Source organism: Homo sapiens, chromosome 1 (assembly GCF_000001405.40).
Source record: "Homo sapiens chromosome 1, GRCh38.p14 Primary Assembly".
Taxonomy (NCBI): domain Eukaryota; kingdom Metazoa; phylum Chordata; class Mammalia; order Primates; family Hominidae; genus Homo; species Homo sapiens.
Genome location: NC_000001.11, coordinates 98654056 through 98668350, shown reverse-complemented (window position 1 = coordinate 98668350; position 14295 = coordinate 98654056). Strand labels below are relative to the sequence as shown.

Sequence of the window (14295 nt, the reverse complement as noted above, 5' to 3'; positions counted from 1 at the left end):
TCTGAAGTGGCATGGAGAGTTCAAATTTACATTAAAATTAATACCCTATATGACCTTGAAAATATGGTGTTTAAATTCAATATCATGTCATTTGTGTATACTGGTTTTTCAGTCACTGAAAACCACTAGGAATGTTTGCACATAAAATGGTCCTATACAAGGTCTCCCCAAACTTATTCTGAAGTTTCCTTGTTTTGGTTTTATTGTTGATCATATATGCTACCTCAAAAAGAGAAACTTAGAGCTTTTCACCTTCTTTCTATTTCACCTACCTAGACTTCCTCCCCAAGGAGAAATATAAAAGAATACTTAACCTATAAGAGAGCTATAATGGCACAGAGTGAAATTTTTTGCAAGAGAAATATAAGTAGTCCTGGATCAGCCCTATTTTGTTTTATTGTTTTTTTTGTTTGTTTGTTTTGTTTTTTTTGTTTTTTTTTTCCTAATCATCAAAATGGTAAGGCCCACTAAGACAAGATCAGGATGTAGGCCTTAGGGAAAGGGGAACATACATATTAGGGCATGTAATCGTCATTAGTATTTATCCTCATTTTACAGATGAAAAATCTGACGCATTGACATTAAGTTACTTGCCTTAGGCAATAATACTAGTAAGCAGTGCAGCCAGGATTTCAAATGCAGGCAATGTAGTTAGAGTCCCTACTCCTGGACCAGGTGTGGTGGCTCACACCTGCAATCTCAGCACTTTGGGAGGCCGAGGTGGGCAGATCACCTGAGGTCAGGAATTCGAGACCAGCCTGGACAACATGGCAAAACCCCATCTCTACTAAAAATACAAAAAAAAAAAATGCTGGGTGTGGCAGTGTGCACCTGTAGTCCCAGCTACTGGGGAGGCTGAGGTAGGAGGATAGCTTGAGCCTTGGGAGGTGGAGGTTGCAGTGAGCCAAAATCACGCCACTGCACTCTAGCCTGGGTGACAGAGTGAGACCTTGTCTCAAATAAAAAGAAAAGAGAGTTTCTACTCCTAACCACTAAGCTTATATCTTAATGGTATTTTTACTTACAATGACTAATGGAGCTTTCTTCAGAACTTCATATTTATCCCAATTAAATTCCATAGTCTACTTCTGAATACAATGTTCTAACTTATCAAAAGATTTGGAAGGCTGATTATGATATACAGACTATTAGCTATTGTTATAGTTACTACTGCTGTGTAACAAACAATCTGAAAACATAGTCGTATAAAACGATTTTATTGTTTTAGATTTTATTATGCTCACTGGTTTATGCAGGAATTCAGGAAGCACACAGCAGAAATGTCTTGTCTCTCCTCCATTATACATGAGGGCTCAACTGAAAAGACTTGATGGCTGAGGGCACATGAATGCTGGAGGCTGAAATCATACAGACATCTTCACATGAAAGCCTGCCACTTAATGCTGGATAGTGCCAGGGACTTCGGCTAGGGCTGCTGACCAAGCATTTACATATGGTTTCAATGTAACATGGGTTTCCTAACATGGAGGTTTTAGGTTGCATTTCTTACATGGTGCTCCAAAAAGCACAGTGTCCCACTGGACAACACGAAACCTACATTCCCTTTCATGATCTAGCCTGGGAAGTTGCACAGCATCACTTCCACCATATCCTATAGATCAAGGCAGTCATAATCCCACCCAAGTTCAAGGAAAGCAGCACTTATACCATCTCTCCGTAGGAGAGTGGCAGGTCACATCATAGAAGAGCATATACAATGAGAGATACTGACACAGTCACCTTTATTGAAAGTAACTCTCCACATTGTTGTACTATGTCCTACGACCCCACCCATCTATTTTCTGTGCCCTAGGAGGCTGGCACCTATAGATGACATCACCTTAGCAAGACCACTCAAAGAGGAGTGCAAGCAGGAGATCCAAAGGCAGGAGGAGAGGAATTCAGGGAACATACCCCTTATTTCCTCCTGCTTTGGCACGTTTCCGGCAGTAGCTACCTCTCTCTGTAAATGCAGTTCCTGAAGAAGTGTCCCCATCTCCACAGCTCCAGGTCTGACTGGTTTCCAGCAATGCTATTTCCATTTCTTGTCCCTTTAAAGCTAGGGATGCTAATAGCTTTTTCCCACTACAACTCTCTAAATGCCTCAGTATTCCTTGTTTGTTCACTAACTCTGCCAATAATTCCATAAATAGTCCCCGCATTCAACTCTCATTTAAATCATTGGAGAGAATTCTGATTTTTATCAGAGTGATGACTGATATAGGCACACAACAGAAACCAAATAGACTGTGCAGAGAATATATGTGAGAAATTAGTAAGCAGGACTTCCTAATCTTTTTCTAATTATTTGATAGAATAGATGAATAGTATAATTATGCCGCTCCATCACTATACTGAATTTCCAAATTGACAAAGAAAAAAATATATATATACATATAAAGATATGTATACATGTGTATGTTAGATGTCTCAACTTTATTCTTTCAGAAATAAACTTTTCAGCTGGGCACGGTGGCTCACGCCTGTAATCCCTGCACTTTGGGAGGCCGAGACGGGTGGATCACTTGAGGTCAGGAGTTTGAGACCAGCCTGGCCAACATGATGAAACCCTGTCTCTACTAAAAATACAAAAAATTAGCCAGGCATGGTGGCGCATGCCTGTAATCCCAGCTACTCAGGAGGCTGAGGCAGGAGAATTGCTTGAACCCGGGAGGCAGAGGTTGCAGTGAGCCAAGATTGTGCCACTGCACTCCAACCTAGATAATAAGAGCAAAACTCCATCTCAAAAAATAAACAAATAAATAAATAACCTTTTCTGAAGAAATGAGTGATTTTTTTCAAAAGCCTTGCTCAATCATGTCATTATAACTCTGATTTACCATAAACACAATCTTAAGTCTTTCATTATTCTTATAAAACTTGTAGCTTCTATTGATCATGTTTTTTTCAAAGTGTGTATAAACAACATACTAAATAATTCATTTCATGGCTTTTTTGGAGATTGAAATGAAACCTACTGTTCGCTACCTTCCAGAACTCCCATTTTGCCCATTATTTTTAAAAACAATATTTACCTATCTCTAGTTTCAGGGAACCATTATTGCATTTCATGATTTCTCAAAGATGACTAGTGGTGATGAGGATGATTACACCTGTAAGTTCCCTGATTATCCTAGATGATATATATCTCACTTTTATGATCCCGAATATCTTTAAAGAGGCCAATTAGAGCTATCATTTACTGAGTACCAGATAAGCATCTCAGTGCTTCATTGTGGCCTAATCACATACACTGTATCCACAGCTGTTTCTTTTATACAGTATTCAATAAAAATAAAGGCAATTTATTTTAATTTATTGTTTTTCCCCAAAGAGGAGGATTTTTTCCTTTAAACGTGAAGAAACTGGCCCTTTTTCTCCAGTTAAATTTTTTGGAAGCCTCATCTCATTGTGACCTAGTTCTAAAATAATTCTTAGGCTCTTGTTACCATTTGTGTATCTTTTTTATTTTTTTATTTTTACTGTTTTTGTATGATTGGTTCTGTTCTCTTCCTTCTAACATCTATCCCCGTTCTTTTAAATCAATGTCCTCTGCATTCTCTTGAGGTCTGGCATCATTTTCTTCTCACTGGATTATAAGAAAATTCAGAACAACTTTGTTTTACTTTCCATCCCTCTTGATTTATATTGCCATTTAGAGTTTGTCACATCTTCCCACCTGGAGTATAAGATTGTGATAGCAAGAACTAAATCTTGTATTTCTTTTTTTTAAAGCATACTTAACACAAAATGTATATTTGCCATGTACTTGTAATACGTTGTGGAAAAAAAATAATAAGAAGTTGTTTTGTTTTTCTTTTGAGACAGAGTCTCACTCCGTCACTCAGGTGGGAATGCAGTGGCGTGATCTCTCAGCCCACTGCAACCTCTGCATCCCGGGTTCAAGAGATTCTCCTGCCTCAGCTTCCCGGTTAGCTAGGATTAAAGGCTCCCACCACCACACCCGGCTAATTTTTATATTTTTAGTAAAGATGGGGTTTCACTATGTTGGCCAGGCTGGTTGTGAACTCCTGACTTCAAGTGATCCGCTAGCCTCAGCCTCCCAAAGTGCTGGGGAAATTCATACTCTTTAAAAAGCTTCTGGAAGAGTATACCAGACACATATTCACAAATAATCTAAGAGAATAAGGGGACTATAAAGGTGAATGTAAATTAAATATGTAGTTTGCCAATCTCAAATTACTAAAAGGGAAGGACAGTTTGCTTCATAAGTAATTGTGAGATTCCATCCTAGGATAGGCTGAACAGCAGTGGTGTTTGTTTTATAGAGGAGCAGGCAAGGAAGGTAGTGGAAAGGGAAGGCCACGTGGAGCAGGCTTTCTTAAATTTGCTTAACTACAGATAACGGTTGAGAAATTCAACTTACTGAAATGGATGAAAGTGGCTAATTTTAAACTTTTCCAACTACTCTTGTTGGATTTTCACTAATATTATATCTTTGCCTTAATCTATGTGGGCAGTTTCTACAGAAGTTGTTCTTAACTTTTTCTAAGCATCCAACACGCGCAGTTAACACTAACAAGCAGGGTGGACCCAGGTGTACGGGCTTTTAGAGTTTGGAAGGTCCCCTTTTAAAAGAATACAAAATTAGGTGGAAAAACACATTATTCAGAATGAGAAAAGAAATCTCAATAAATGATTGGAGCCATGGAGATCTAGATTCCTTAGTCTGAGAGAGCTTTAGGCAATTCACCAGAAATGCTTATTTAGAAATGCTTCTGGTCGGGACCTGTCATTTCCTTCCCACCTAGAACATCTGCGACTCCAGCAACCCCCAACACGCCCAGAGGTCTAAGCAAACGAATAGCGCTGAAGCTTCAATTTCATTAGCTTCACCTTGGATCTGCCTCTGACAAGAGGACCTCATTTAAACATTGATTCTTAAGAGTCAGCTAGAACACCTAGAATCTGGGGAAAGAGAAACCACTTGACAAGTTTAAAACAATCCGAGTCACTGTGGCTCAAGCCTGTAATCCCAAACCCTTTGGGTGCTGGAGGTGGTAGAATCCCTTGAGGCCAGATGGGTCCAGCCCCGACAAAAAAAAAAAAAAAAAAAAAAAAAAAAAAAAAAAAAAACCAGAAAGAAACCCTGATGATTCTGATACACCATTGCTATTTCCAACATCCCATCCCAAAGTTTCACAATGCATAACCATAGACTAATATTCCTTATCCAAACAGCAATGTAAAGAAGGAAAGAAAGTAAATAACCAACTGGCCAACTGTCGTTGATCTGAACATGAAGTATGTGTGGAATATAAAAAGGCAGAGTTTACAACTAAACATAAAATAATTCCATTGTTTTACTACTTAACAGAAAAGTCAAGAGCACAAAACTGTGATAGTCTGTTTAAATATTCGGAATACAAACCTGGGCCTATCATTCCATTTAAACCGAAGTAGAAATAAGTTTTATATACTCCTCTTTGGAGTCAGAGTATGCATGGTCACTTCCTAACTTTGGTTTGCTCTCCCAGAGTAAATGCGGTGGTTAAGTAGGTCGTTTGCTTTACCTAATATCTCCAGGTAACGTTAAAATGAACAGGCTTCTTAGTAATGAATACAGCGTTGTGATCTGAACTCAGGTCTTCTCTCAGCAGCAACTTGAGAAACTGGAGTGACATTCAACCTCCCTGCAAGAAAGGTATTTTTCTTTTCTAAAACCCTTTAAGAAATTACAAACACCAGTCTACACGTACCAAAAGTCTACCACTAGCCCCCACAAGTCAATTTCCCTCCAACAGTAAAATAAGCAAATAAGAGCCTTTGGTCCTAAATTTCCCGGGGGCAAGGAAAAACGAAAGCACTGGCTGTGGGTTGGGTGGCAGTAGCTGACCATCTGAAAAATCCTTAGCTCCTCAGCGGAGGAGCTTCCTGTTAGAAACAACCGTTTTCTCCTGTTCAGGGAGATTTCCTAGAACCTATTCCCACAAGACCCGAGACTCACCCAAGTCTCAAATCCACAAGCAACAACACTAAATTAAGAATAATTTCTCTAAACTTGGCTGCTCTCCCAGAGTTCAGGGCTGGCCTCGCCCGAAAAGCAGCTGGCGGGAGCGGTTTTGAGCCACCAGCCTCCCAGGTTCGGGAGCTGCCGCGAGGAAGATGTCTGTGTCAGAGAAGCAGAAAGGGAAAACAAATCACAACTTTGCAGACTCCACTAAGCCACAGCCCCGCCGAACGGAAGGTCAAAGTGCGGAGGAGGGAGCGGCTGCGGTTTGAGGCCCCGAGGCGACGCGGCCCCGGGTGCGGCCAGAGCTGGCAGGCGGGGTCCAGCAGCCCGGGGGACCTCACTCGTCCCCAGCTCAGAGCCACCGCCCCGGGAGGGCAAGCGCGCCAGAGGCAGCCGTCGGCGCAATGCTGGCAACGCCCGGAGTTGCCTTGGAAGTTTCCCGGGACTCGCCGCCGCCGCCCTCACCTTGCTGAACACCTCCAGGTCGTCCTCGTCCTCGTCCAGATCCAGCACCTCCGCCTGCAGCAGGGCGGAAGAGCCACTGCTGCCCGGAAAGGGGGCGCCGCCCCCCGGGCTCTCCCCGTTGGCGCCCCCGGCCGGGAGGCCCGAGGAGGGCGCCTGCGATGCCCGGCGCTCGCCCTCCATCCCGAGAGTGCGCGCCCAGCCGGCCGCCACCGCCGCCGCCAGCCCGGCTCCCCCGAGCGTGCCCATTGGCTCCCACGTCTCCTGCACCTCCCCGGCCGGCCCCGCTCCAGCCCCTCGCCCGCTGCGCAGACGCGGAACTGCCGGGACCAGCGCTGGCCCGGGCCGGGCGCATCCCCACCTGGCCTGGGGCGGGCTGGAGGGGCGGAACTGGGACTCTCGGACTCCGGCTACGTTGGAGAAAGGGTTGGCTGTACCCTGGAGAAGAGGAGAGACTCAAAGGTAGGAGGTGGGCGTCCTCGCATTGACCCAGTCGGGGGCCACCGAGTGACGGTTTCCGCAGTGGCGGGGTCTGGGAAGAAGCCACGAAGCGAACCGTCCACTTCGCGGGATCCACAGCGAGGCTGGAAGGCACCCGACCCAGCCTTGCCAAGAGAAAAAAAAAAAACAGCAATAACAATACTGTATTTCCTGTATTCAGTGGTTGCCTTTCTTCTTGGTTGTGATTTTCGAGCTAATGTAAAAATAAAGACATGAAAACTTCCCGTTTTGTTAATTGATTTTTGACCCAGTGACTGGCCTGTGCGGTCATTTCACTGTCGAGCCAGGAAAGCTGAGCTTTACAAACTATTTTCAGCCACTTTCAAATGCATCTTTACTCCTGGACGTCTTCCTGAAGTTAATGAGCAGAATGTTACCAAGACCCAAGGACAACTAGCAAGTCTGGAAAATTGCCACCGAGAAATAATCTTCAGTCCTTGCATTGCCAAGGCAAAGCTTTAATTATTTAACTGCTTATTATTCAAAAACAAAACTAAGTTCCAAAACTAATGGAAAATTTTGCCCACGTTGATATATTCTTTAATTTATCTTCAGGTTTTATTTACTTCCGTCAGCCCCACCTCTTTTCTGTAGGCCCATTTAAAAATTTTTAAATACATTAAGCTCTATGTAAGAATTCCTTATTTGGGGAAATAGAGAATATCTTTATTTCTGATTAGAGGCAAGGCCTTAATAATATATTATCTCCTAATCATTCAAATGTATTCCCATTGATTTCAGACGTGCACCCACCCTTCAGTCAGGTTGGTCACTGCCCCATGAGTATCCACATTTGTTTCTGTGCTTGATGATTTCTGTACTTTAAATGCCATCTCCTGCCCATCCTTCAGAAATTAAATATAGTCCCATCTCTTTCAGAAAGACTTTCTAAATGACAGTCTGTTCTCAATTTAGCATTTAATTTTATTCCATCTTGCAGATTGTATTTGTTTCATGTACAAGTTTTCCATTCCTTAGTAAATGATAACATTTTCAGGTTGAGGATCCTGATATGTATTAACCACAGTATCAGATGTACTCTCAAAATGCTCTCTGCTAATTTCTGTAAATAATATAAGTTATTAAAAGACTTTATTTTTTCCTTGATAAGCTTATTCTGACTAGTAAGGAAGATTCAAGGTTTTCTAATTGCAATCTGAACCAGGAAATTCTTAATAATGCTGTAACTCACAGAATTGCTAGAAACCATAGAGAATGGGCTCAGAAAATGGGCAGAATAAAGCAAGGCTGCACAGCTTGGATTATAGCCAAAAGCAAGGCCACAGAACCAGTGGTACAGACATTGCTGCTACCATTGCCTGATACTGGTTGCCACACCATCTTCACCAGTGTCAATATTGTCATTAACACTGATGTTACTGGACTCCAGTTGCTTTCCCTGGCAGCAGTACCACAGCTACCTCTGAGAACTTCCCTGCTATTACTGCCACAAAAATGTCTCCATCACCCTGTTTCTCTGTGTTGATTTTTCTAGTATTAAAACCCTGGAGAGTATGTGTGCTTGGCCAATCTGGCCAAGTTTCATGGAAATTCCTAAGGCAGAGAATTTTCTAAACATAGAAAGGCCATATTGATGCTTGTCAACCAAAAACAAGAAAAATAGGAAGAGGGGTAGGATGAGGAAGAAGAGTAGGGAAAACGTGACTATAATTTGCCCCTTTGGCTGTCCAATTAATATTACCTTTCTTCACATACTCCCCCTACCTCCATGCTTTGAGCACCTGAGCATGCAGTTCACAGCCCCTCAAAGGGAGATAATCCCAAACCTACTCATTATTAGTACAACTCCAAAGCAGTATGTCTATTCCTCCTGTAGTCTCAGCTTCCTATTAAGTGGGACTATCACTGGGTTTTTTTGTTTGTTTGTTTGTTTGTTTTTGAGACAGAGTCTCACTCCCTCGCCGAGGCTAGAGTGCAGTGGCGTGATCTCTGCTCACTGCAACCTCCGCCTCCCGGGTTCAAGCGATTCTCCTGCCTCAGCCTCCTGAGTAGGTGGGACTACAGGCGTGCGCCACCACGCCCAGCTAATTTTTTGTATTTTTAGTAGAGACAGGGTTTCACCATGTTGGCCAGAATGGTCTCGATCTCTTGACTGCATGATCCACCCGCCTCGGCCTCCCAAAGTGCTGGGATTACAGGCTTAAGCCACCGTGCCCAGCCTATCACTAGGTTTTTTAATGGAAGAATTCTTACTTGGGTACTAAAGCCTTTAAACCAGCATAGTCCAAAACTTGGAGTGCAAGTATAATATTAAGAGCAGCCCTACCCACTCCTGTCCTGTTTAAGAGAAATAATATCATACATTAATTTATGGTTTCATGAATATACATCTTGTCAAAAAGCTTTCTCTCCCTTATACTTTCCAGATGGGATCTCTTCAGACCATAACTGGATCTTTAATATTCAATTCCACCATCTATGAAGTCTGCTGTTTCTAGTAATGGGTTTTGTGATGAGACAAGTTACCCCATGGGCATTGCCCAAAGGCTTTACTTCTTTTGCTAGAAAGTGATTTAACTAGTTAGAAAAAAATATAATGTGCAAAATCTACTGAGGAATAGACCAGTCAATAAGTTCATGGACGAGCGTGTTGAGGGAAATCTGATGAGCAGAAAAAGCAAAGCCAATTTGACTTTTCCACTAAAGACAAATCATGGCATCCTCCAGTGTGGCAGGGTAAGGGTCCTGCATAGTTGCTGTGGCAAGCTGAGTGCTGAGCAATGGAAGCAGCCAATTATCCTTTAGTGAGAGGAAATCCTTATTTTTGAGCCAATGCATAGCATAAATCCCTGCCACCATGGCCACATGGTATGTGAAGCCATAGAACAAGCACTGGAGTTTCTAGAAAAGCAGTAAGATTAACATCCACAGGAGAATAAGCATTATTTTCAAACTTATTTCTGATGACATAAATTCATCAAATGAAAAGGCTTTTTTGGAGAGCATTGTTGTGGGCTACATACAAATATGCTTTTATTCTGGGGCCATTCCAAGAAAGTCACCTACATACATTTTCTCAAACCTTCTTGACCCCGAGATCCTACCTTGTTTCTTCTAAGTCTCATCAAGTCAAACCTCTAGCCTTTGTCCTGGAAAGAGCATAGAAGCCTCATTCTAACTGCCCTTTGAAGCATAGTGGGCACTGTTGTATACCAAGAGGAGGATTTCCCTTGTCCACTGCCCTTTTGCACTGCAATAACTACTAACTGATTCCCGCAAATGATAAAGATCCATCTGTAAACCAACTTTGGAGTTTTTACCCCTTAGTTAACTGTTCAGATAAAACTCCCTATGAGATCATAGGGGTAGACCTGCTGAGAGTAAAAGCCAAATGCTCATGCAATGTATGCTTATAGGACCACTTTCAAATATTACATTTCCACATGAGCATGGCTTGCTGAAGTAAGGCTGGATCAATTTTAGGATTTTTTTCATTATAGCACCCATTTCATGAGGAGCTGCTTGGATCACATAGTCACCTGATGTCACATGCTTATGTATCTAGTTGATATTGTTTGGCTATTTGTCCCCTCCTAAAGTTATGTTGAAGTGTGATCCCAAATGTTGGAGGTGGGGCCTAATGGGAGATGTTTGGGTCATGGGGGAGGATCTCTCATGAATGGCTTGGTGCCCTCCCTGTGGTAGTGAGTGAGTTCTTGCTCTATTAGTTCACACAAGAAATGATTGTTTAAAAAAAAAGAGCATAGCACCTATCTCTCTCTCTCTCACTCTGACTCTTTTTCTGAATCTCTCTCTCTCGCTCACTCCCTCTCTTGTCCTATGACATGCCTGTCTGTGCCCCCTTTGCCTTCTGCCATGAGTGTAAGCTTCCTGAGGCCTCAGCAGAAGCCAAGAAAATGCTGATGCCATGCTTGTACAGGCTTCAGAACTGTGAGCTAAATTAATCTCTCTTCTTTATAAATTACCCAGCCTCAGGTATTCCTTCATAGCAATACAAAACAGACTAACGCACTCATCTTCGCCAAAACCTGGTAACAAGCCAATGGCTGGTTTCTTAAATCTATCAGAGAGAGCACATTTTGCTCTAAAACATTAGTCTTTTTGATTTTCTTTCAGAACTTGTCACAGGCCCCACAGAGTATCCTTATTCTCTACAGGCTCATCAGTAATATTAACAGTGAAAGGTAGGCCAAGCGTGGTGGCTCACGCCTGTAATCCCAGCACTTTGGGAGGCTGAGGCTGGCAGATCACGAGGTCAGGAGATCGAGACCATCCTGGCTAACACGGTGAAACCCTGTCTCAACTAAAAAAAAAAAGAAAAAGAAAGAAAAAATTAGCCAGGCGTGGTGGTGGGCGCCTGTAGTCCCAGTTACTCAGGAGGCTGAGGCAGGAGAATGGTGTGAACCCGGGAGGCGGAGCTTGCAGTGAGCCGATATCGCGCCACTGCACTCCAGCCTGGGCAACAGAGCGAGACTCTGTCTCAAAAAAACAAAAAACAAAACAAAACAAAAAAAAAACAGTGAAAGGTAGTGAATGTCTACTTGAGTCAGACACTCTTATAAGTGCTTTATGCATGGGCACTCATTTAATCTTCACAAACACCTTAGGATGTAGACGCTATTATTACCATCCCCATTTTACAGATGAGGAGACTGATGAACAGAGAAGTTTAGTAATTTACCCAAGGTAAGTAATAAGTGGGAAATAATTTACTCCTCACTGAAAAGAATGTTACATAATGTTGTCTTTAAAAATAGAAAAGAGGCCAAATATGGTGGCTCATGCCTGTAATCCTAGCACTTTGGGAGGTTGAAGCAGAAGGATAACTTGAGTAACTTGAGGCCAGGAATTCGAGACCAGCCTGGGCAACATAAGGAGACCCCATTGCTTCAAAAAAAAAAAAAAAAAAAAAAAACTTTTTTTAAATTAGCTGTTGGTGGTGGTGTGCATGCCCGTAGTCTCAGCTACTAGGGAGGCTGGGGTGTGAGAATCTTTTGAGCTCAGGAGTTTGAGGCTGCCCTGAACTATGATTGTGTTACTGCACTCCGGACCGGTGACAGAGTAAGACTCTAAAGAAAAATAAAATATAAAGGAGGATTTATAAGGATATTCAGGGATTCTCAGCTCTTGGAATTTAGCAGAACAGATAATTCTAAAATTCTTCCACTACCAATCCTGAAGAACTGTAACAAGAATCTTTAAATTCATGGTTGAATTTGCAAAAAAGTAATTAACTTTAAGGAGACAAGAAACAAAGTAACCTTATGTCAGAGAATGAAATTTGTAAATATTTGGGCTGCTAGTCTGCCTGTCCCCAGGGTGGAATGTGTAGGATTGGTCTCAATAATCTAAAGGTTTGTGTTTGAGCTATCATGGGAATAAGGGAAATATAAACTTATAAGAGATTCAGTCAATAACAATACTCTTTTGGATCAGCCTGGGCTCCACGTAGGAAAGATATCTGCCCGAAAATCTTACTCATGGTTTGGGAAGTCACAGTTCAAAATATTAAAAGTGTTCTTGAGTTAGTGATATAACTGGGAACTCTGGCATAATCAAATAAAAAGATCTCTTTCTCAACTCACTCTCGACAGTTTCAACAGATAAAACTATACTGCAGATGAGATCATAATACATAATTTAAAGCATTTGAGGAAACTATCATGGATCAGAAGCATCATATAAAACTTTTAGGAGTAGAGCCTCAAAGAACTTTAAATAAACAATATACAAAATATACATTATTAAATAAATAAAAGAATAACTACAACAGACTATAAAAAGAACCAAAAAGTCTAGAAATGAAAAGTATAGTCAGTGTGCTGATTGTTAATTCTTTGCCTCTCTGCTCCAAATGGACTCTCATTGCCTGCTCTGTGATAATGGAGATGAGCCTTATAGATATTTCTCCTTTGCCACCTGTCAAGATGTTAAACATTGTCAGTAGAGAATCTGGAGGGATACTGCAGAAGGAAAGGTTTTTCCTCTTCATGTTTCTGGTGTGCTCTCTTACCAGTGTCCTGCAGAGAGCTCTTTTTCTCCACTGTTCAATGTGAGGTTCCTGTAGGGCAAAACTTTTTATGATATTTGACTCACTATCAAACTCACACAGCTGTGTTGGCATAGTCCCAGATATTGTGGGCCTGCCCCCAGCCCAGGTTGCTGCACCCCCTTCCCTCTTCTTAGTTCCAGGCATGGACACACACCAGGACACTGTAGTCCAGCCATTCCCTGACGTCTGTCAAGCACAGCAGCCCAGAGCTGACCCAGTGCACTAGACTCCTGAAGAGGAGGACTTTGTGAGACTCCTGAGTCTGATAGTTTCCAACAGGCAGCAGCTTCTTCTGGCATCTAACAAGTTCTGAAGCTCAACACCTACCAGAGGGTAGATTTCCATTGAGTCCTACCACGAGGTACTTCATTGACTTCTCCAACATTCAGGAAGCTAAGGTGGAGCTAAGGTGGTGACATCTGGATCTCACTCCTAGCAAGAAAGGGCTTGTCCGTGGGTACTTATCTCAGCACTATGGGTAGTGGTCGCATTTTATATTATATTTGTGTACTTTTAGAATTATTTTGACTCTCATTAGCTAATTCTTCATCACTCCAATTCCCTGTTAATAATGCTTTATATAAAATTTTGCCTCCTCAAATGACTGTGTGATTTTTATTGCCTGACTGGACCTGGAACAATACAGAATTGCTACCAGGAATGGTCCCAGAAGATAGACCTACAAAAATGGCATTTTGGGAATCTCCTTACAACCAGGTGACTGAGGAAGAAAAACCTTGAGCCTGGCATAGAGCTAGGTCTTCACAATATGCTAGCACCATCTGAAAAGAGCAGCTGCAGCACTGCAGCCCCACTCAAGGGTAAACCTGAAGGGCAGTGGTGAAGGAACATTGTCCCATTGACCAGAACTTCAAGTGTGACATTTGGTCATCTATATGTCTGGAGAGAGAGATGACTAGAAATACAGGTTCATATAATGCATGGGTAGTTGCAGATAGTTTAGTCGGATTGTCAAGGACTTGGAAGGAACAGTTTTAGATGATTAGTCAAAAGGGAGCTTACAGAAGAAGTATGTGAGTTGACTTTTCAGAATGGCCACAGATTAAAATATTTGTGAATGTGAAATGCCCACCAGAGGGCCACTACTGCCCCACCAGAGGGCCACTACTGCAGAGGTAGCTTTAAGAGGGTAGAATTATGCACTCCAGGATGTCAGTCAACCTTTCTCCCTAGCCATTATATTCTTTGTTTGATGTGTCCACGAACTAAGTGGCTATAGTGGCATGGATGGAGTCTACGCATGGACTCAATAACATGAACATCCCTTTACCAAGGCTGATCTGGCTAATGTAACCATTGAATA

The 14295-nt window shown here is 42.2% G+C and overlaps 1 protein-coding gene and 1 long non-coding RNA gene across 10 annotated transcripts in view, besides 3 other annotated features; one reads left to right on the top strand and one right to left on the bottom strand.

Annotated features, from left to right (window-relative positions):
* SNX7 (sorting nexin 7) overlaps nt 1-7032 on the bottom strand; it is a 99182-nt gene extending 92150 nt beyond the window's left edge. For 3 of the 9 annotated variants that reach the window (NM_015976.5, XM_006710677.3, NM_152238.4), the window contains exon 1: nt 6440-6630. In NM_015976.5, the coding sequence (NP_057060.2) occupies nt 6440-6619 (180 nt within the window). In that variant the 5' untranslated portion in view covers nt 6620-6630. Of the gene's footprint in view, nt 1-5392; nt 5416-5534; nt 5655-5968; nt 6631-6797 lie in introns of those variants that run through there. The other 6 variants (NR_033716.2, NM_001364903.1, XM_011541564.4 and 3 more) reach the window with 5 other exon arrangements.
* Nucleotides 6249-6318: a silencer, noted in NCBI's record as "silent region_1113". NCBI's record gives its function as "represses an Ori minimal core promoter by ATAC-STARR-seq in GM12878 lymphoblastoid cells {active_cell/tissue: GM12878}" and the evidence as "EXISTENCE:reporter gene assay evidence [ECO:0000049][PMID:35858748]".
* Nucleotides 6549-6668: a silencer, noted in NCBI's record as "silent region_1112". NCBI's record gives its function as "represses an Ori minimal core promoter by ATAC-STARR-seq in GM12878 lymphoblastoid cells {active_cell/tissue: GM12878}" and the evidence as "EXISTENCE:reporter gene assay evidence [ECO:0000049][PMID:35858748]".
* Nucleotides 6689-6828: a silencer, noted in NCBI's record as "silent region_1111". NCBI's record gives its function as "represses an Ori minimal core promoter by ATAC-STARR-seq in GM12878 lymphoblastoid cells {active_cell/tissue: GM12878}" and the evidence as "EXISTENCE:reporter gene assay evidence [ECO:0000049][PMID:35858748]".
* Nucleotides 7033-7578: 546 nt separating the features above from the next.
* On the top strand, nt 7579-8044 carry SNX7-DT (SNX7 divergent transcript). The gene has a single exon (NR_189290.1). It is a non-coding gene; the product is annotated as an SNX7 divergent transcript (long non-coding RNA).
* The last annotated feature ends 6251 nt before the right edge of the window (nt 8045-14295 follow it).